Source organism: Homo sapiens, chromosome 11 (assembly GCF_000001405.40).
Source record: "Homo sapiens chromosome 11, GRCh38.p14 Primary Assembly".
Taxonomy (NCBI): Eukaryota; Metazoa; Chordata; class Mammalia; order Primates; family Hominidae; genus Homo; species Homo sapiens.
The window spans coordinates 77,408,855-77,432,069 of record NC_000011.10 but is presented as its reverse complement, the minus strand read 5'-3'; the positions used below and the strand labels follow the sequence as shown (position 1 = coordinate 77,432,069).

At 40.5% G+C, this 23,215-nt stretch overlaps 1 protein-coding gene across 48 annotated transcripts in view, besides 1 other annotated feature; it reads left to right on the top strand.

The window, feature by feature from the left end:
• The window catches only part of PAK1 (p21 (RAC1) activated kinase 1), a 207,993-nt gene that overhangs the window by 97,940 nt on the left and 86,838 nt on the right, over nt 1–23,215 (top strand). For 26 of the 48 annotated variants that reach the window (NR_164797.1, NR_164798.1, NM_001376305.1 and 23 more), the window contains exon 1: nt 20,099–20,296. The exons of 19 other annotated variants lie outside the window; for them this stretch is intronic. Coding sequence is in view for 2 of the 29 variants with exons in the window: in XM_047427047.1 (XP_047283003.1) it covers nt 20,271–20,296 (26 nt within the window). In the remaining 27 variants the exon portion in view is untranslated. Of the gene's footprint in view, nt 1–3,014; nt 7,233–20,098; nt 20,297–23,215 lie in introns of those variants that run through there. 3 more of the 48 variants (XM_047427053.1, XM_047427050.1, NM_001376284.1) reach the window with 2 other exon arrangements.
• Nucleotides 20,432–20,551: an enhancer, noted in NCBI's record as "active region_5303". NCBI's record gives its function as "activates an Ori minimal core promoter by ATAC-STARR-seq in GM12878 lymphoblastoid cells {active_cell/tissue: GM12878}" and the evidence as "EXISTENCE:reporter gene assay evidence [ECO:0000049][PMID:35858748]".

Genomic DNA, 23,215 nt, shown 5'->3' with positions numbered 1-23,215 from the left:
AAGCTTGTGGGAGGACACAGATGAGTAAGATGGGGTTATTCACGTTAATTGAGGAGACAAAAAAAACCCACACAGGCTTAAACTTTAGAGTACAAGAGTGGGATAAAGACAGTACCTTGTGTTGATGTGTGATAAACAGTTACCAAATGAACTTTAGAGTGACCTTATTTTAAGGCCATTCAGCAGTTATAGGATTGGCATATTGTTACTTTTTGTGACTTCAGGTATATCCTTTCTCTTCTCCAGATATCAGCTTCACCATCTATACGTGGGTAAGTTAGACTTGGTATTTAAGACCCCTTCTAGTTATGACATGTTGTGAAATTACTTGGCTTTTGTGGGGCTTCTTCACTTAGGTCCTTATGAAGAGTGCCATTTTGATAGCTCCAAGTAGCTAGAAAGATGAGTCTTCCTGTTCTGGTTCAGAGTGGGGGAAAGATGCTTTACTTCTTTCTTCGTTGGCCTTAACTGCACTCTCATCTCAGAGAGATGATTGCCTTCCATATCAGTCCACATTCTGGTGAAAGGGGTAACTCTTAAGAAAGACCATTTCCCTTAGCATCACATAAGTCCTACGAGAGGAAAAGACCACTGAAGAGGGTATTAGGAGTACATGTTTTTCAGGACTCAGCTATATGTTTAACTCATTGTTAAACATTGGGTAGGTCAGTTCATTCTGTTCATACTTCGGTTCCTTAGAGAATAACACTTCTATTGCATAATCTCTCAGGGTTGATATGAGACATAAATTATATCCTAGATGCATACAAAGCTTTATATATTGGTTATTTGCAAAAGGTAGAGTTGCATAATGTAGCAGAAATGCAAATTATCTTGTAAATGTTGTAAAATAATGCAGATAATGTAGTAAATACTAGCAAAATTTTGCAAATAATGTAGCAAAAATGCACTAAATAAATCAGTGGTCCCCAACATTTTTGGCATTAGGGACTGGTTTCAGGGAAGACAATTTTTCCATGGACTGAGCTTGTGGGGGTGGGGGTGGTTCAGAATGATGCAAATGCATTACATTTATCATTAGATTCTCATAAGGAACACACAACCTAGATCCTTCTCATGTGTAGTTCACAGTAGAGTTTGTGCTCCTATCAGAATCTAATGCTGCCACTGATCTGACAGGAGGTGGAGCTCAGCTTTGCTCCCTTGTCCCCTTCTGTGAGGCCCAGTTCCTAACAGGCCATGGTACTGGTCTTCGGAGTTGGGGACCCCTGAAATTAGTTACTATATTTTAGGCTCCTACTGTGTTTCTGGCACTTCTGATATGTGCTTTAAAGATTCTTTTCCTAACGCTTTACAACAATTATTTGTCCCCATTTAACAGAGGAGGAAATTCCAGTTCAAAGAGATTAAATAATCATCCCAAGGGGGAAGAGTCAGCAATCACAACTGGATCTAACTCTAGAGTCCATATTCTTTCTATTATATTTTTCTGCCCTTTGGTAAAGAGATGTTTTCCTCTATTCCACTTGTTTTGAAAAGGTCTTGATAGTGTGGGTCACATTGGTCCATTTTAAGAAAGGATAAAATTTGCTTTTGTTGACAGCTACAGCTTGTCCCCACTGTCTAAACAGTACTAGACTTTGGAGGAGACAGTAGGTCTGAGACTAATTTAGTCACTGGTTATTCGGACACTCATAGGACTGGGCCAAAATGGGAACAAGGACTCTTCGAATAGCAAGGTCATTATCTCAGTGTTGAAGGAACATTTGAAGTTATTAAACTTTGTTCTCATCAAATGGGGGAGTCTGAAATATGTTTTTCCTCACCAAAAACCCGATGTCCTGTAAACCTCAGCCTGACTCACTTGAAGATTTGTTATCTTCTTTTTTTTTTCTATAACCCCCAATATTTAATCACTATGAGACACATAACCTTCTAATTCTTAGAAGAGTATTTTCTTTGGCACCACACAAGCCCTATATAGCAGGAAGGAAATATGAGGTTCAGAAAGAGTCTAGTCTCAGTCTTACCTTTAACTTCACTGTGTGACCCTGGAAAAATATCTTTCTTCTCTACTCCCACTGCTACTGCTGTATTCTAGATCTTCATCATCTGTTTTGTTTTTATTAAAATAATTTAAAAAGCGATATCAAACTTAGTTTTTCTGGGTCATTTGAGAATGAGTTGCTGACATGACCCTCCATCAACCCCACATTATTTCCTACATAATAAGATGGTTGTGTAAGTACAATGCAACCATCAAAATCAGGAAATAAACACTGTTACATTACTATTATCTAATCCTCATACCCATTCAAGCTTTGCCAATTGTCCGACTGTCTTTTACAGCAAAAGAATATAGTTCAGAATCACGTGTTACATTTAGAAGCTACATCTTTTTAGTGTCCTCGGTCTTTCCTTAACTTTGATAACCTTGACACTTCTGAAGATTACAGGCCAATTATTTTGTAGAATATCAGATAAAGCAGGTGTTTTATAGAATGTCATCACCAGTCTTACGTTATGCTTCTTTGGTAGTAAATATTACAGAACTGGTGCTGTATTCGTTTCATTGCATCCTTTTAGATGGTAGTGGTTTTGGTTTGTCCCATGACTATTGATGTTCATTTCAGCATCTTGCTTAAGGTGGTGTCTACCAGCCTTCTTCACTGTGAAGTTACTCTTTTCTCTTGTATAATTAATAAGTATTTTGTAGGCAGTACTATGTAAATATCCGTTTCGTTGCCAAACTTTCAGTGTATTTAGTTATTTATATCAGTATGGACTCATTTTATTTAATGGGTAATAATCTATTGCTAGCATCATTTGTTTTGGTGCTCAAATTCTCTTTGGTTTGGCCAGTAGGAGCCAAATCAGAAGTTGGCTTCTGTCAACTTTTGATATGTCCCTATCATTCTTTGACTACTTCCTTGCTTTCTAGCCCAATAAGATGTTCTAGGTTCATCCTGTACTTTCTCTATACCAGCCAAGGAATCCTGATGTGTGTGTGTGTGTTTTTTTTTTTTTTTTTTTTTTTTTTTTTTTTTTTTTTAGTATTAAATGGCATTTAGAATCCAAAATCTGGTTCCTAGATAATGCTCATTGTTATTGGACCATTGCTGCTCCCAGGCCTTCTCATAGACATAATGAGGAAATGAGGTTCTGACACCCCCATCACAGGCTCTCCCTACTGTGTGGATGCCCTCCTTATCTTGCTTGGGCTTTGGTACCCTATAGCAGGGTGCTCTTCCATGACAACTCTTTCTTAACTGTGGTTGGCTTCTGACACACTACACCAGGGCACCCCTCTCTCCTGATACGGATGCCTTCCTTGCTATACTTAGACTATGATATTCCACACCAGTCCACCTCCCTGCCCCAAATGTGGATGCTCTTTTCACCCTGCTTGGGCTCTGATTCTCCTCACTAGACTACTTGTCTCTTCCTCCCCCTCCTGATGGACTCACCCTGCTTAGGTCTGACCACAGTGTTGGGCTGCCCTCATCATCTCTTAACTAGACTTTTTTTTTTTTTTTTGAGATGGAGTCTTGTTCTGTCGCCCAGGCTGGAGTGCAGTGGTGCAATCTCGGCTCACTGCAACCTCCGCCTCCTAGGTTCATGCCATTCTCCTGCCTCAGCCTCCCGAGTAGCTGGGGCTACAGGCGTCTGCCATCATGCCCAGCTAATTTTTTTCTTTTTTTGTATTTTTAGTAGCAACGGGGTTTCACCGCGCTAGCCAGGATGGTCTCGATCTCCCGACCTTGTGATCTGCCCGCCTCGGTCTCCCAAAGTGCTGGGATTACAGGTGTGAGCCACCGCGCCTGGCCTTAACTAGACTATTATAACACAAAGCCTCCTAACTGATCTCCTTGCTTTCAATCTTCTTATACCTTTCACATTTCTGCAAGAGTGATCATTCTAAAATATAAGTCAAATCATGCCACTGCTCTGCTTAAAAACATTGTAATAGTTCCCTTTTGCTTAGAGAATAAATTTCAAGTTCCTTGGGCTGTCATTCAAGGATCTCTAGTATCTGACCCAAAGGTACCTTTCGTCCTCATTTCTTATTAGTTCCTTGGTATACTGTGCACTCCAACTATCGCCACTGGCTACTCCTTAGACATACCCCAGTACATTTACTCCTCTGGCTTTTTGCCTTTATCCTCTCCTCTGTCTGGCTTAGCCAACTCTCTTCACTGTCTGATAAAATCCCTCAGAGTCCTAGTTCAGATGTCTGCTATGGATGTCAGAGCCTGAATACAGTGAGGAAGATAACAATAAGAGGAAGGAATTACCTGGTGAAACCTCTCTGACCTCTATAGTCATAAACAGTCCCCTTTTTTTCTACTTCTGATGGAGTATTTACTTCATTCTCTCTCTTTTCACAATCAGCTGTTTACATATCTGTTGCCTCTGATTCATTGGCTGCTCCTTGAATGCACTCAACACAGGGCATTGCATCTAGTAGACCCTCAGGGAATGCTGATGGAACTTGTCAAGGGAATGAATTTTGGATGGTGAAGTTACCACAGCAGTGAATCTGTTGCTTTCATTTGAAGTCCATTCACAGGTCCCACTGAGGTCTGAGAGGCTCTGACTACAAGAAAGGGTTTGGAGTCTGGCATCCTTGGGTCTAGATATCTGCCCTGTGCCAGAGCTCTTTCTGAGAAAATGATATATTCACACTATTCTCCTCTTTAGTAAATTCCAAATATGTCTTTAAAAAAAAATCTACACTGTCATCCTAAATAAAATAATTCCTAGCTACAGGAATATAGGTATTTAAAGCTGCAAATAATAGCAGTGACATCATCCTACTAAAAAAGCCTGCCCCAAATTGTCTGAAGGCCAGCATTGTGATATGTGTCTCCTGACAGCCTATCCCTGCAGAGACCCTCAGTCTGTCTCTGCAGAGACACTTAGGCTGAAGTGTCAGCAAAGGAGGGTTTTAGACTTTCTCAGTGACTTTACCAGTCTGCACTTTTTGGAGCTGTGTGGGAAGCATCACAGGCTAGGTTCCTTGTAGCATGTGGGGGTTTCTAGAGGGGAAGAGAAAGATAGGAGTCTGTATTTCTTTAGATCCCACTACCAACCCCATTTGCTCCAGCCATAGCAGCATCTTGAACTTTTCTTGTTCTGATCATTCATTCTTCCGGGGCTTTGTCCAGGTTTTCTTTTCTACCCTGAGATTGAACTGTCTGATTTCAAAGCCTAGGCTCTTTTGTGTTTCATAATCATAGCACCGAATTTTTTTTTTTTTTTTTTTTAAAGATTGCTCATTTTTGCTTTTCCTGTCAGGTTTTCAGTCTCATTAAAATAATTTCTAAATTGAGATCAGAATATTTTCTAATATACAGATTCAATTTTTGCCTCCACAGGGGTTGAATCAAGGTATACTTACCTACAAGACTAACTCTTATTTTGATTTGGCCTGAGACACAGTAGAATGTTCCCAATTTAAGATTAGCACTATTCCATCTGCCTGGTGCTAATTGAAACTGAAGAGGAAGGAAAGCTTTTATTCTATAATTGTTTGGAGAGCAGCATGGAAAACTCCTTAGAATGTGATGAACTTGATATTTACTAGGTTTATAAGTTTTGGCAAGTGTTAAGCTCTCTGTGCCCCGATTTTCTTACCTGTAAAATGAGGGTAATAAAGCCAATTTTTAAAGGGCTGTTATTAGGTTAAATGATATGATTCTTGTAGGGTTGACTCTGGTTTTGACTTTGTCACCAACAGTGGGAGGTGGGAGTCATCAACCTAAGCATTGTCCCTGGCTTAGTATATGCCATAATTTCACACTAAAGCTACGTTTACTTCCATTATCTTATATAACCTTCATATTGTGATCAGAGAAAAAAAGATGGTGGTGGTGGTTCCCATTTGTCAAATAAGGAAATTGATACTCAGAGAAGTTGAGTGGCTTGTCTGAAAACAGAGACCTCTGACTCCTAGTCTGAGACTCCTTTTGTTCTTAACAAGTCTTAGGAGAGGGCCGTGTGGTGTAAAAAAAAAAAAAAAAAAAAAAAGAGGCCTTCAATTGAAAAGTCAAGAATGGGCTTGGTGCAGTGGCTCAAGCTTGTAGTCCCAGCACTTTGGGAGGCTGAGGTGGGAAGATTCCTTGAACCCAGGAGTATTTTTTCTTTTTCAGAAACAGGGTCTTGCTCTGTCACCCAGGCTATGTGATCATAGCCCACTGTAGCCTTGAACTTGTGGGCTCAAGCGATCCCCCTGCCTTAGCCTCCCAAGTAGCTAGGATTATACGCAGAAGCCACTGCACTAAGAATATCTTGATTTTGTAGTTTTAGCTAGGATAATTTGGGAAAGTCAACTCAGTTTCTACCTTATTTAAACAGAAATATGAATTATTCTTTTTAACTCACTTTGGCAAATAATTGTCGAGCATTTACTATGCCTTACACGGTGCTAGGCTTGTCCCTTCTGTCAAGCTGTTTATATTTCACTAAGGATAAGAGATACAGATAATTAGTTTAAGTGAAAAGAGTTATAACAAATGTGTATGTGGCAGAAGATAATGGTGGCTGTGGTGGGAGTGGTCCAGGAGGGTGCCACAGAGATAGCCGTGGGGCTGGGCATTGCTTCTGAGGAGAAATCTCAAAGGAGGGTATGTAAGAATTAATTGGATAATGGATATGAATGTGCTTTATTAGTTGCCACATAAATGCAGCTTTTTACAACTGTCAATTCTTACAGAAGGTGCCTCTTTTCTAGAAACCTTGGCTGACCGAGTAGAACACCATAGTTGGAGTCCAAACTTAATTAAAGTGAGAAGAAAGATTTTAGTAGATTGAGATTTTATATTAAAAAAAAAAAAAGCAAAAGCCTGTGTCTGAAGTTTTTGGAATCCAGGAGTCCTTAAAATGGGATGTGTATGCCTATTAAAATTGTCTTCTACTTTGATGACACAGTGGACCTCAGCCACTTTTGAGTTTATAAAGGACTTATTTATTATCACTTAAAAAAAAGCCACTTGTGCTCCTGCAGCATTTTAGATATTTAAAACAGCCTTGCAAACAAGTATGTATCCTGGGGAATAAAATGAATCAGGACAAGACAAAGAGAAATTGGGCGGCTGAGCCAAAGATATGTAATGTTTTTATTTTTTATATTTGTTTGGGTTCAGTAGATGTAATTATTGAGAGCTTTGTATGTGCTAGGCTTTGTATGAAGTACTGAGGGAACAGAGATGAATGAAGCATTTCGTAAACAAGGGGACATATAGTCTGGCTGGAGATACAAGACATCTGTGGTAAGTGATAAGCATTTTTATGAGGTACTCTAAGATCTTAAAGGTGGAGGACCTACTCAAGCCGTTGGGTAAGGACTGCATCAGAGATGGCAAGTTAGAGGAGAGGACACCTGAAGATTAGAAGTTTTGGAGGAAACAGAAGGGAATAATGGGAGATAAGTGTGTTCTATGCAATGGTAATAGCTTGAAGAAAGGCACCAGGATTTAAATAGTACCTGGTACTTAAAGCACCTACAAATAAGAGAAACATTCCTCAGAATTTAATGCTGGAGTGTAGTAACTGATAAGACTTTGTATTTTGTCCCCTTTTTGAAGAGATAGAACATTTTTAGTTAGTGTTAGTTATAAGATTTTATAGTGGAACATTTGTTTTTACTGTACAGTATTTTGTGTTCCCCATTTTATGAGTCTCATTAGGGGCAAATATGCAGTTCCCTAAAGGAGATAATTTAGATACTTGCTTCCCAAGCTTCCTTGCTTCTGGGGCATAGGCAGTGACCTAGGTTTCACCAATCCGATATGCCCAGACCACACTTGGATTTAGCACTTAAAGACTTGAGAGAGGAGGTAACGGGAAACTAACTTTCTTTTTCTGATGGCAGAGGCAGTAGCATCCCCTGCAAGGTTGGGTTCCTGGCACTGAAGTGGCATTGTTGTTTGTGATTGCTGCACAGAGGTTGAATTCTTGATCCAGAAGTGACGGTGGTACCCATTCTAGCATGTAATGATGAGAAGTAGCTGCAGTGGTTTCCTCATTGGACTAGTTCTGCAGTGTAACTTTGTGCTTTATTCTGGAAGTTTAGCCTTAAGCCTATTTTTCCAACCTTCACCAAATTTTGTGAGCCCCCAATATTCTTTCAGTACATTGATTTTCACTAGACTCAGATTTTAAATTGATTTTCACCAGACTCAGAGTCTGATGCTTACATCTAAGAATCCTTTGAGTCAGAGGTCATCAGACTACAGCCTGTGGGGCAAATCTGGCCCCATTGCCTGTTTTTGTAAATAAAGTTTTGTTGAAACATAGCTACACACATTCATTTACATATTGTCAGTGGCTGCTTTTGTGCTACAAAGGCAGAGTTGAGTTATTGAGACAGAGGTGATAGGGCCTGCAAAGCCTAAAATATTTACTATTTGGCCTTTTGCAGAATTTTCCAACCCCTACTTTAACTAATAATGGTTGTCCCTTAACAACACTGAAATGTTTCCTTAATGAGACAGTGAGTATTAGTTTGAGTTTCACCCTTTTTTCTTAAATTTTGGTTTTGGCTTCCAGGATGCTCAGAGCAAAATTTGGTCATGAATTGCAAAGCATGGAGTGTTGGTACTATGTTTTAATTGTCTCCTACTTTATTACCTGTATTCCACTGATGATTACTATTGTCCTAAGGGGTGTGTGTGTGTGTGTGTGTGTGTGTGTGTGTGTGTGTGTATTTGAAAGCAACTTGAAAGCCATTTTTGAAGTAGACAGGTTATATTCTTATTCTGTTTTTTTTTTTTTTAAAGAACTTGGAAAGAGTGATTGCCTGCCTTATTGGGAATATATCAAATTGTGAAGAATATTCTCAGTCTTCCTTTCATATCTATCTAGTATTGTCTTAATTTGCTCAGATCTTTTTCATTCTTCTGCTAATAAGAGGAATTTATTTATGGTTAGAGACCAGTGGCTAATAAGGAATCAATGTTTCAGACTAGTAAGAAGCATCTTTTTCTTGATTCTCTAGTATGCTTCTTGTTTGTATCAATTAGAAATATTTTCAGCTGTAAGTAGTAGAAAACAGTGATTTAAAATATAGGAATTAATTTTCTGGAGGGAGGGCATTGGTTGCTTGTATAGGGTGGGATACAATGCCATTTAGAACCCAGGCTCTTTCTGTTTTTCTACTCTGCCAGCCTTTTCTACTCTGCCACTCTGCCAGCCACTGAGTGTGTGCTTTTCACTCTTGTACTTATGACCTCAAGGTTACTAGGCTACTGTAGCTCCAGAAAGAATGTTTGAGAAAAGAAGAAAGGGGCGGAAAGGCAGAATTAGCACTCTGCCTGTGTTCTATTTTATAATTAAAGCAACCATTTCCCCAGAATCCTTAGAAACTTACTGACTAGAACTTTGTCACATGCACATGCCCAACTTTAAAGGAGGCTGGAAAAATGAGTGTTTAATTGTCTCATTACTTTCCTGGATAAAATTAGGGTTGGCAAAATTGGCAAGGATGAAGGGATGAATGGATATTGATTAGGGATTTGAAAGTCATTGGATTTTAGTGACTTTTTTTTTTTTTTGAGACGGTGTCTCCCTCTGTTGCCCAGGCTGGAGTCCAATGGCGCGATCTCGGCTTACTGCAACCTCCGCCTCCTGGGTTCAAGTGATTTCTCCCTGCCTCAGCCTCCCAAGATTACAGGTGCCTGCCACCATGCCTGGCTAAGTTTTGTATTTTTAGTAGCGATGGGATTTCACCATGTTAGCCGGGCTGGTCTCAAACTCTTGACCCCGGGTGATTCACCCGCTTCAGCCTCCCCAGAGTGCTGGGATTACAGGTGTGAGCCACTGTGCCCTGCCTTTAGTGACTTTTTAATATGGTTTTAAGAAATGTATTTGTACCCTGTATGATTTTATAAAAATGTGTGCTGGTGCCTGTGTTTTATTGGAGCTACCTCATTTTGGGCTGGAGATATAGTAGCAAATGAGGAGATATATACTACCTTTCCAGTCTAGAGGTAAAAATAAATACTATCAAATACTTTCAGTAAATTGGATAAGTGTTTGGGACTTCTCTGAGGGCCATATTTAGGAGTCATTAAATCTGTTTGAGGGATTATAGGAAGCCTTCATAGAAGTGGTGACATTTAAGCTGGGTCCTAAAGGATAAGCAAAGGGAGGAAAACTTATGGGATTATGCAGTAACTTGTTGCTGTATCTTCTCTGCTGAGGGGTTGATTGGCAATGTTAATACCTCAGAGATTGTGCATTTCATTATTAGATACCTCTGATTATTATAATGTTCTTATAGAATTCTCCATTTCTTCCTCCCTTCCCCTGTCTCTCTTTTTGGTTGGGAGGGCAAAAGGTGTTTTGTATGACATGATGAGAGAACTCTTGGACAATTACTTTAGGCCACTCTAAGACTGCATCCACATTCCTTTCTTAGCCTTCAGGATTCTCTGTAGCTTTTTTTCTGACTGGTCTTTCTAGCTCCATTTATTCATTCATTCCTTCATTCAGCCATTACTTATCTGTCACCCACTGTTTGCAAGGAATAGTTCTGAGGTCTGGAGATAAAGACAAAGTCTTTGCCTTTGTGGAGCATATGTTCCATTGGAGGGAGCCAGCCAATAGGCAAATAAATGTCAGTTGATGATAAGTGCCAGGATACAAATAAAGCAGGATAGGGTGGAATAAAGGGTGCTGATATAGAGTAGAGGGGGATTTTTAAATCATTTTATAAAGATTGGTTAGGGAAGAATTATCTGATAAAGTGATATTTCAGCAGAGACTTGAAGGAAGACAGGGAATAAGCCATATGGTTATCTGAGGGGAAATGTGTTTTCAGGCATAGTCACCATAGGGTATGAAGGCCTGGAGGAGAGAGTGTATATAGCCTGTCGGAGAAAGCCTTGGTGCCTGGAGCAGAGTGAGTGAAGTGGGGAAAAGTCGGAGATAAGGTCAGTGAAGTAGCAGGGTGAGATGAGGGGAGGAGGTAGAGGAAGGTAAGATCATATAAGGCCTTGTATGTTTTTCTAAGGACTTTGGCTTTTACATTGAGATTGGGGAAGCCACAGGAAGATTTTAAGCAGAAGAGAGTGATGTGATCTGAGACATGTTTTAAATAGATCACCCTGGGAGGCAAGAATGGATCAGTTAAAAAGGATGTTGTAATATTCTAGGTCAGAGTTTCCCAACAGTGGCGCTATTGACATTTTGGGCAGGATAATTCTTTGTTATGAGGGGCTATACTATGCATTCTAGGATGTTTAATAGTATCCCTGGCTCCCACTTACTAAATGCCAGTAGCACTTACCCAGTTGTTTTAATCCAAAATTTCCCTTGACATTGCCAAATATCCCCTGGGGAGCAGAGCAAATCTGTCCTGCCCTCCCTAACTCCTCTTCACCCCACTATTGAGATCCACTGTTGTACACAAAAGTTGCTGATGGTTTGGACCAAGGTGATAACAGTAAAGGTGATGAGAAGTGGTTGGACCGTAGATCTGTTTTGAAGGTATAGTTGATACAATTTGCTGATGGATGCTTGTGGGGGCTGATAGACAAAAAGTGGAGTAAAAAATGAATCAGATTTTTGGCTTAGCAACTGAAAGAGTAGAATTGCCATTTATTGAGGGATGGGGGAGGAAACACCTGAAGGAGGAACAGAGTTTTGACTTGTTAAGTCTGACAGTCAGTGGCACAGCTTTGTCTCCTATTGTCTTTAAAAATGCTTTTCTTTTTGAGGGTAAGAACTAGGTCATGTCATCTTTGCATCCATAGTGACGAACATTGTGTCTGGCATGTAGAATATGTTCAATAAGTGGTGAATGAATGATGAGATTATTTACTATTTCCAAGAAGGACCAAGTTATTTACTGTTTCCTAAACCGTTCATACTTTTTTCTCCTTTGGGCCTTTGTTTTTGTGATTCACTCAAGGGAAATCTCAGTAGCTCTATGAAAAATTTACTCCTTCTTCAATACCAACCCAAATACTGCCTCTTCCATGAACCTTTTCCTAGTTCTGCAGGTGTAATTAATGTCTCCCTTCTCTGCACTTCTTTGCCTTTTTTGAAATTCAAGTATACTTTGACTTATGACTGGTTGCTTTGACTTATGACTGACTGCCACTAAATAGATTTATTAATATCTTTTTTCGTTTCCATCTTTCTTTTGCTTGTTTCTTTACTTATAGTGTTTTTGTAAGCTACTATTATTATTTATTTTATACTCCACCTCATATCTAGATCTAAGATGCTCTAGATCATCATTACTGAAAGTATACTCCACAGTAAGTGACCTTAACAGGCAATTGGCCTCACCATCTAATTACTACAAGAAAAAATTTCATCTCAGATGTTGTTTTAAATCCAACATCATCATTGTTGACTGATTTCCTTGTACATTTAACTGGTTGTGTCAGGAGATTTATAATTTCCACTTAGTACACATATTGTTTTAAAAGTTATTTGTGGTTGCAAAAGAACCCAGTAAAAATAATCATTTTCAAATCCTTTAGGCACTTCAATCACACTAGTCATCAGTTATAAGCTATTAGATTGAAAGCTGTAGTCTCCAAACAAAACCAAATTTTTGAATGATTATTGATCATTTGCTTTTATAATAGAGTTAGCAGGAGTTGCAAACTCATATGCCTACAGAGGAGAGATAAGTGACTTAAAAAGGCCTGGTTAGGCTTAAGATGACTACAGAGACAAAACATTGCTGGCCAAGGTCCATGACTTATAAGAATAATTTGTTAATTATTTACTTTGAAAACCAGAGGACTATTTAAATGAAAGGAGTTATTGCACTTAAAACATGTTAACTGCTAACTTGTATAACTTCAGCACATCATTTGAGATCTCCAGGATTTAATTTCTTTGAATGTACAGAGTCATCTCTAAAGTTGCTTTTACCTCATTTGATTCTGTTAGTAATAAATAAAACTGCTGGCATCTTACCAGTATGCCTCAATTTCATAAGTATTGTGTTTCATCAGCGGGAACTAAACTTAGCCAAGTTTCCTATAGCAGCACCCACCATTGAAAGAGAGAGACAGTGTATTAGCCAGCCAGTTAACTTTTGGTAACCAAACCAGCGTTTGGTTTTTCAGAACTGAAATCTAAAATAGAAGATGTCTGAATTTGATCCTTCCCGCTGAAGATATTAGTGGTTCTGCCTAATACTGTACATAGATGTTTTGTTGTTTCGTCTACCTGGTCCTATTTATTTGGTTCAGTCATTTTTCTAGTGCAGCACTTTTTAGTTTTGTATTTGCCAACTTCCCCTATTAGTGGTGATTTCCTGGAGACGTAGGCCATTTCTAGGTCATCTTTAATCCTCAAAACCTGGAACAGGCAAGAGCACATGACAGATGTTTGAAAAATGTTTAAAGAGATGGCATACTTATTAGCTTTGTAGGTGACAAAAACTGAAAGAGAAAACTAATATTTAGATGAGTAAGCTTGGAATGATGGGCTGAAGCCAACAAGATGAAATTTAAGAGGAAGACAATGAAGTTCTGCATTTTAAGTCTCAAAAGAAATGGCAACATATGGGCAGACTGGAGGAGACTTAGCATGATGCTATTCTTATGAAAATGGTGGTTTTGGCTGCTGAAGCTCAATGTCAGCCAAAGGCATTGCAGTGGATAAAAATCTAATGTAACTTCAGACTGAATTATTGGAAGTATTAAGTACAGTTAAAGGAGGTGATAGTTCCACTATGTTTTGCAAGGGACAGACTGCACTTAGAGTATCATGTTTCCCTCAGGGTACCAGGCAGTAAGAGGATCATTGCAAACAGGACTCTATTTAGTGGAGGGTACGCTAGATCATCATTACTGAAAGTGTAGTCTGAACTGTTCCCAGCCCACAATGAGATAAGCATAGAAATTGAAAGTACTTAGAAATCTTTATAGCAATTTGTCAGAGTAATTTTGTGTCTAATGAATCTAATAAAAAGGAAGATGAACTTTATCTTGTATGTCTTTGTTTCTTTCTATTTTTTTGCTTGATACTTTTTTATTTTAATAGATTTTATTTTTTAGAGCAGTTTTAGGTTTATAGAAGAATTGTGTAGAAAATGCAGAATCCGGCTGGGCGCAGTGGCTCACGCCTGTAATCCCAGCACTTTGGGAGGCCGAGGCAGGTAGATCCCCTGAGGTCAGGAGTTCAAGACCAGCCTGGCCAACATGGTGAAACCCCATCTCTACTAAAAATACAAAAAATTAGCCAGGTGTGGTGGCGTGCACCTGTAATCCCAGCTACTCGGGAGGCTGAGGCACGAGGATTGCTTGAACCGGGGAGGTGGAGGTTGCAGTGAGCCAGGATCACACCATTGCACTCCAGCCTGGGCAACAGGAGTGAAACTCTGTCTCAAAAAAAAAAAAAGAAAAGAAAAAAGAAAACGCAGAATCCCTCTCTCCCCATTTCCTCTATTATCACCATCTCATTAATGTACAATTGATGAATCAATATTGATACATTATTATTGACTAAAGTACATAGTTTACATTAGGGTTTACTGTTTGGGTTGTATAGTTCTGTAGGTTTTGACAAATGCATAGTATGTGTATCCACGATTATAGTATCATACAGTATAGTTTTACACCCTAAAAATGCCCCGTGCTTCACCTATTCATTCCTTAACCACTAACCCCAACCTTTCAAATACCTGGCCGCCACTTATCTTTTTACTATTTCTATAGTTTAGCCTTTTTCCAAATATCATGTAGTTGGAATCAGCCTTTTCAGACTGGCTTCTTTTACTTAGAAATCTACATTTCAGGTTCTTCCATGTCTTTTTGTGGGTTGATAGTTCATTTCTTTTTTTACTGAATAATACTATATTGTATGACATACCACAGTTTATTCATTCAGTCTTGAAGGATATCTCAGTCGCTTCCAGTTTTTAGCAATTCTGAATAAAACTGCAATAAACATTCATGAGCAGGTTTTTGTGTGAACATAGTTTTCAACTCATTTGAGTAAATACCTAGGAATACTATAATCACATAATGATGATTCAGTCAGTGATGAGCCACATATATGATATAGCCATCATCACATATTAATGCAACACATTACTCATGTTTGTGGAGATGCTGGTGTAAACAAACCTGCTGTGCTGCCAGTCATATAAAAGTATAGAACACATATGTACTTTTTTTTTTTTTTGAGACAGAGTCTTGCTCTCTTGCCCAGGCTGGAGTGCAGTGGCACAATCTCTGCTCACTGCAAGCTCCGCCTCCTGGTTTCACACCATTCTCCTGCCTCAGCCTCCAGAATAGCTGGGACTATAGGCGCCCGCCACCACGCCCTGCTAATTTTTTGTATTTTTAGTAGAGACGGGGTTTCACTGTGTTAGCCAGGATGGTCTTGATCTCCTGACTTCGTGATCCGCCCACCTTGGCCTCCCAAAGTGCTGGGATTACAGGCGTCAGCCACAGCACCTGGCCAATTATATGTGTTATATAATGCTTGATAATGATGATAAATGACTCTGTTACTGGTTTATATATTTATTATTCTTTTTGTTGTTATTTTAGAGTGTACTCCTACTTATAAAAAAAAGTTAACTGTAAAACAGCCTCAGGCAGGTCCTTTTGGAGGTCTTCCAGAAGAAGTCATTGTTATTATAAGAGATGTCAGCTCCATGCATGTTATTGCCCCTAAAGACCTTCCAGTGGGACAAGATGTAGAGGTGAAAGACACTAATATTGACAGTGGGACAAGATGTAGAGGTGGAAGACACTAATGTTGACAGTCCTGACCTTGTGTAGGCCTAGACTAAAGTGTGTGTTTATGTGTTAGTTTTTAACAAAAAGATTAAAAGGTAAAAAAATAAGAATAGGCAGGCGTGGTGGCTCACACCTGTAATGCTAGCACTTTGGGAGGCTGAGACAAGTGAATAGCTTGAGCTTAGGAGCTGGAGACCAGCCTGGACAACATGGTGAAACTCCGTCTCTACTGAAAATACGAAAATTAGCTGGGCATGGTGGCACACGCCTGTAATTCCAGCTACTCGGGAGGCTGAGGCACAAGAATTGCTTGAACCCAGAAAGTGGAGGTTGCAGTGAGCTGAGATCATGCCACTGCACTCCTGCCTGGGTGACGGAGTGAGACTCTGTCTCTAATAATAATAATAATAATACAAAGAATACAAAAAAGCATATAGAATAAAGCTATAAAGAAAATATTGTATAGCTGTACAATGTGCTTGTGTCTTAAGCCAAGTGTTAATGCAATAGAGTCAAAATGTTTTTAAAAAATTAAAAAGTTTATAAAGTAAAAACTTACAGGAAGTTAAGGTTAATTTATTGTTGAAGAAAAAAAAATTTAAGTTTAGTGCAGCGTAAACATACACTGTTTATAAAGTCTACAGTAGTGTACAATACTATCCTAGGCCTTTCCATTCACTTACCTCTCACTCACTGACTCACCCAGAGAAACTTCCAGTCCTGCAAGTTCCATTCATGGTAAATGCCCTTTACATATGTACTGTTTTTTTTTTAATCTTTTATGGCGTATTTTTACTGTACTTTTTCTATGTTTATATATGTTTAGATACACAAATACTATTGTGTTACAGTTGCCTAGTATTCAGTACAGTAACATGCTATACAAGTTTGTAGTCTTGAAGCAGTAGGCTATACCATATAGGCTAGGTGTGTAGTAGACTGTACCATCTAGGTTTGTATGTGTACACTCTGTGATGTTCGCATAACAATGAAATCACCTAATGACACTTTTCTCAGAATGTATGCCTGTCATTAAGTGACACATAACTGTATTTAGCTTTGTAAGAAATTCCTAAACTGTCTTCCAAAGTGGTTGTATCATTTTGCATTCTCACCAGCAATGAACGAGAGAGTTCCCGTTGCTGCATATCCCTGTCACCATTTGGTGTTGTCAGTGTTTTGGATTTTAGTTATTCTAATAGATGTGTAGTGATATCTCATTGTTTTAATTTGCAGTTCTCTAATGATAAAAGATGCTGAGCATCTTTTCATATGCTTATTTGTCATGCATATATCTTCCTTGGTGAAGTGTCTGTTCAGATCTTTTGCACAGTTGTTTTTTTTAAATTGGGTCACTTCTTACTGAGTTTTAAGAGTTCTATGTATATTTTGATACAAGCCTTTTATTAGATGTGTTTTCTCCCAGTCTGTGGTTTGTTTCTTTGTTCTCTTAACACTGTATTTTGCAGAAATTTTAAATTTTAATCCAGTCTAACATGTCAGTTTTTTCTTTCATGGATCTTGCTTTTGGGGCTGTATCTAAAAAGTCATTGCCAAACCCAAGGTCATCTAGATTTTCCCCTACATTATATTTTAGACATTTTATAGTTTTGCATTTTGCAAATGCAATGGTTTGTGATCCATTTTGAGTTAATTTTTGTGAAAAGCATAAAGCCTGTGTCTAGGTTGATTTTTTTGGATGTGGATGTCCAGTTCTAGCACAATTTATTGAAAAGACTGTCCTTTCTTCATTGAATTTCCTTTTCTCTTTTACAGTCAGTTAACCACATTTGTGTGGGTCTATTTTGGGCTATTTACTTCAATTCCACTGATCTATTTATGTTTTCATTAATATCACATTGTCATTATCACTGTAGCTTTATAGCAAGTCAGTCTTCCAATAGATATCAATATAGTTGTATCTATAAAAATATATTGCCTAGGCCACATGCCAGACCAACCAAGTCAGAATCTCTGCTGGGACTCTAGTATATTTACACATATTTAAAGCTTTCCAAGTTATTCTGGTGGACAGGGAGAATTAAAAGCCACCATACTAAACCATAAAATCATCACCTCCTTGAAGATGTGGTTCTGTTCACTGATGTGTCTATCCCCAGTGACTTGCATAAGATGCTTAAATAGTTGTTGAATGAACAAACGACTAAAAGAACTGGGAGTATTTATCTTGGAGAAGAGAAAAAGTGGAGGGGCATAATAAATTAGCCTACATACATACATAGTTGCAAGCCTTTAATGTGACTTGCCCTGGAGGACGTTGCTCCTGGAGCAGAATTAGAAATTTACAGAGAGCCACCTGGCTGAATGTGAGGAAACACTGCCTCATAGTGCTGGTGGAAAGTGAGCTCCTCATTCCTGCATGTATTTCAGAAAAGCCTGGAAGACCATCTATAAGAGGATGCTGCATGGGGTGGGAAGTCGAGTAAGATAAGTTGCTATGATTATTGCTTATTAGTTTGAAAAGCTGTGTCTAAGGCAGAGGACTGCTTCTGGCTCTCATTCACCCTGTGTAAATTGGGATGAAGGACATGGTGTGGGGTTAAAAAAAAGTCTTAAAATGACTTTGAAGCTGAATCCTCAGACTACAGCAATTCTCCGGGTGTCTATTATTGACCAATTCTTTCTTTCTTTCTTTTCTTCCTTCCTTCCTTCCTTTTCTTTCCTTTTTTTCCTTTTTCTTTTTTTGAGATGGAGTTTCGCTCTTGTTGCCCAGGCTGGAGTCCAGTGGTGCGATCTCAGCTCACTGCAACTTCCGCCTCCTGGGTTCAAGGGATTCTCCTGCCTCAGCCTCCCGAGTAGCTGGGATTACAGGTGCCTGCCACCATCCAGCTAATTTTTTGTGTTTTTAGTAGAGACGGGGTTTCACCATGTTGGCCAGGCTGGCCTTGAACTCCTGAGCATTTACCAGATGTGTGGTCTTGGAGAAGTCACTGACTTCTTTCACCATCGTATTCTGTTTTCCACCAAGTTCTGCTGCTGCTTCTTCCAAGCTGTGTCTTTAGAAAATAGGCTTGCTTCTTTTTACATTATCTTACAATATGTTAGTCTAAATCATTACTATTTTCTGTTGCCTGAACCTCTGAGAGAAGTTATTAACTTATTTCCACTCCTACCCCCTTTCTCCACTGAACAGCCAGTGATCTTTTAAAAAATGTAAGTTAGAGTTTGTCATTCTGCTTTCAAACCTTTCAAAGCCTTCCCACTGCTAAAACTTGGAACAAAAGCCTAACTCCTAATTATGACCCGAAAGAGACACCGCATAATCTGACTTCTGTCATGTCTCTTAAGAGCAGGGTTTGGGAGGGGGAAGAGTGAGGTAATACTACCTCCTAGGGAGCATTTGCAAATGTGTGAAGGTGTGTTTTATTGTTTCAGTAATTGGGAGGCACTACTAGAGGCACTACTAGTCTGGGCCGTGTTGGTAAATGTTCTATAATGTGTTGTTCAGCTCAGGTTCCATCACAATGCCTGATGCACAATAGTTGGTTAAAAAATACTTATTGTATGAGCCCTGGACATTTTCCCTGGACCTCCGTTTTGACGTATGTGAATTGGTATAGTGCCTACTTCATAAGGTTGTTTTGAGAGAGACATAACATTTATAAAGTACCTAGTACATAATAGTTCTTAATAAATGGTAGCAGTGGCTAGGTGTGGTGGCTCATGCCTGTAATCCACAGTTTGGGAGGCCAAGGGAAGAGGATTGCTTGAGAACAGGATTTGAGACCAGCCTGGGCAACATGGCAGACCCCATCTGTACAAAAAATATAAAAATAACTGGGTGTGGTGGCAGGTACCTGTAGTCCCAGCTACTTGGGAGGCTGAGGTGGGAGGATTACTTGAGCCCAGGAAGGTCAAGGCTGCAGTGAGTCAAGATCCAACCACTGCACTCCAGCCTGGGCACACAGCAAGACTCTTGTCTCAAAATAATAATAATAATAATGTAGCAGCTGCTGAGCTTTGTTTGCTTAGAGGCAGCTATAGGGGCCCACCTAGCATTCTTCCTGGAGCATTAGAATTAGAACCTGGCACGTTTGGGGAGGGGGGAGGTGTATCTCTTTCTCTGAGGCCTAATCTGAATCGTAGGTCTGACCTGAGGAATCTTAGAAGGGACTCCTCTATACTCATCTGTAGAAACTAAGGCACAGAGGAGCTCTGGTTGTCTTTCTTGACTCTGGAGCTCACACAGGACTCTGACAAGCCCTGGAAAACCTGGCCCTGGAGAGAAATTACCTCCTGCTGGAGACTGGGTGGGGAGAATAGCTGAGAGGGTGGGAAGATAGCTGTCTCCCCGCCCTCAGCTCTGCTTTGCAGAAAAGGAGAAGCGCGCGGCTTCCTCCCGCCTCCTTCCCTCCTTTCTTCCCCCGCCCCTTCTGTTTCGCCAACCCCGACGCGGCGCCTTCGCTGCCGCCCTGCGAGAGCGCGAGCGTGCTGCACCTCGGGAGCTGGCGGCTGAGCTGCCAGGAGCCCAGCCCAGCTGAATCGAGCGGAGCCGGTGGAGCAGGGGCCTTGTGGGTACCCGGTTGGGCAGGGAGAGGTGCGGCTCTGCGACGGAAACAATCGCCAGAGATGCCGGGGCTAGCCTTCCCCACCAGGTAATGCCGGCCCTGCCTGGGGCTCCCCTAGCTGGGCCGGGTTCTGGGGGATCTCCGCCGGCTTTCGGAGAGTGGTGACACGGGGTCCAGTAGATTTTGAGGGGTGTCTTACTTTCCTCTTACCTTAAGGGACCCTAAATGAGAGAAAGGGCTGAGGGTGGAACCTTTAGATGAGCCCACCCAGGGCTAGGCCTGCACTGGAATCAGAGCTCTGCCCAGGGAAGGGTGTGAAGGGGAAGCTGCGCCTTTGGGGAACCGCTCAGCCTCAGAAGCTCTGCTCCTTTGCAAGCGCCCTTCTGCTTGGTGGCCAACGTGGTGCTTTCCTCTGCCTTGGCTTAGTCGCTGGCCTGCTGGGACTGTGGGGGCTTTTCTGTGTTAAGAGGTTGAGTGAACTGGGAGGGAGGAGACCTGGGGGGACTGGTCCTATTCAGACATCCTCTGTGGCTTGAGTTGCCATATCTGTGCAGTGAAGGACTTGACATTGTTTGTTACTCTGGCTTTTCCAGACTGTCAAACCATCTTTTGGAGAGGTGAGCTGGTTTAAAGTGCTAAAATGGGCTGCAGAGATGTCCCCCTCAACACTGTAGAAGAGAGGAGAACTTGGGAAGTAGACCTTGGTATCCTGTCTTCCAGCCAGCCTTTTGAATGGCATCTTGGTGGTTCTTCAGGGACAAAGCAGAGACTGAGAATGCTGATGCTTATTTTAGTGTGATGCGTAGGTGTGTTAGGTGTAGGGAGGTAGGGTTGGGAAGTAGAAGGTCAAGGTATGTTAATGATTCTAAACTGGCCAGTTTTTCTGTCCTTAGGTATAAAGTTGCGTTAAACTAGACTCTCTTCTCTGGAGCCCCTTCCTTATTCTGCTAAGTTAATGACAGACCTGGCTGTGGTAATATCTTAATCACTATAATTCTTTCCTTCTTTATTACCTGGCACCAAGAAGCTCATGTCAGGCCCGATAATAACCTACTTTGATTATTTTGGACCTCTTTCCTCCCCCTAGTTTTTTCATGACTCTACGTCTTCCTCTCCTCACTTTTCTTTCTATTTCCTCCTCCTGATCATTTTTCCTGCCCCCTGCCTACCTTTTCTCCCGCCGTCCCCTTCACCCTTCCTCCTCCCCTCATGCTTCCCCTTTTGTATTTCTCCCCCTGTGTAGCCAGTCTTTCCTTCCCTCTCTTGGATCCTCCCCCTCTTGATTAGGCTTTCTTCTCTTTTCTAAAATTTTTGGTTAAGCTTTCTTATTATTAGTAGGTTACTGGTTTGTAGAGACCTTTTCCTGTGTTTATGAGGTCCAAACATTGTTTTCTACCTAACTCACTTGCATCTAGCTTTTACCTCCAAATTCTATCTTCCCCAGGACCATTCTCTCTCTTTACTGCCTCTGTGCCTTGCCTTGGGCCTGCCAACAAGCACTCCCTCTTCCTGCATTTGTTTCCCATCTTTGCTGGTGGTGGTGGGGCAGCAAGCAGGTAGGCAGTAGGGAATAAGCAAGATGGGAAGTGGGGGGCCTGAGTGGGAGGAGAGCAAGAATGTCAAGTAGTGCTGGGCAGAGGCTCAAGTTCCCTTTAGTGAGATGAGTGACTGGGAGGACCAGAAACTCTGGCAGCTGTGAGATAGTGCTGATCTGGAGGAAAGGAGGTAGCCCAGGAAAGAAGAGGGAGGATAGCAGGGATGGGTTGGAGGGACAGGAGGAGGAGGAGGCCTGGAGGAGAAGACAGTGCTCTTTTGAAGAAGAGGGTGGCCTGGACAAGATAGTGGTTATTTGTGTGTAGAAAGAGAAAGATTATAGTCTGGGAAAGGGGACTATATAGGTTAATTATCTTCCCCTTTGATGACTGGCTTTTTGAACTGATTTCTACTCAGCAAATTTTTTTTTAGTTAAAAATTTTGAAAGAATTTACCATGTTTATCATGTTTAAGTGTACAGTTCAGTTTCAGTAAGTACATTTATATCTTTTTTTCCCCCTTCATCCTCCTCACTCCCTTTCCTGGCCTTTGGTAACCACCAGTCTACTCTGTATCATCATGAGATCTACTTTTTTTACCTCCTACATATGAGTGAGAACATGTGATATTTGTCTTCCTGTACCTGGCTTTTTTTTTACCTGAAAAAATGGTATCCAGTGTCATCCATGTTGCTGCAAATGACAGGATTTTATTCTTTTTTATGGCTGAATAATATTCCGTTGTGTGTATATATACATATATACACAAATATATATTGTGTATATACACATTTTCATTTTGGCTATTATGAATAGTGCTACAGGATTCATGGGAGTGTGATATCTTTCATATATTGATTTGCTTTCTTTTAGATATATACTCAGTAATGGAATTGCTGAATCATGATAGTTCTATGTTTAGTTTCTGAGGAACCTCCATGCTATTCTCCATAGTGGCTCTACTAATTTACATTTTCACCAACAGCATATGAGGGTTCCTCTTTCTCCCCATCCTTGCCAGCATCTGTTATTGCCTGTCTTTTTCTTTTTCTTTTCTTGAGACAGGGTCTTGCTCTGTTGCCCAGGCTGGAGTGCAATGGTACGATCATGGCCTACTGCAGCTTCAACCTCCTAGGCTCAAGCAGTCTCCTACCTCAACCTCTGAAGTAGTTGGGACTGCAGGCACATGTCAGCATGCCTGGCTAATAAAAAAAAAATTTTTTTTTTTTAGAAGTGTGGTCTCCTTATGTTGCCCAGAGTGGTTGTGAACTCCTGGGCTCAAGTGATCTGCCTGCCTTGCCCTCCCAAAGTGTTGGGATTACAGGCATGAGCCATCGTGCCCAGCCTTTGCCTGTCTTTTTGATACAAGCCATTTTAACTGGAGTGAGATGATATCACATTATGGTTTTGATTTGTATTTCTCTGATGTTAGTGATGTTGAGCATTTTTTTCATGTACCTGTTGGTTATTTGTA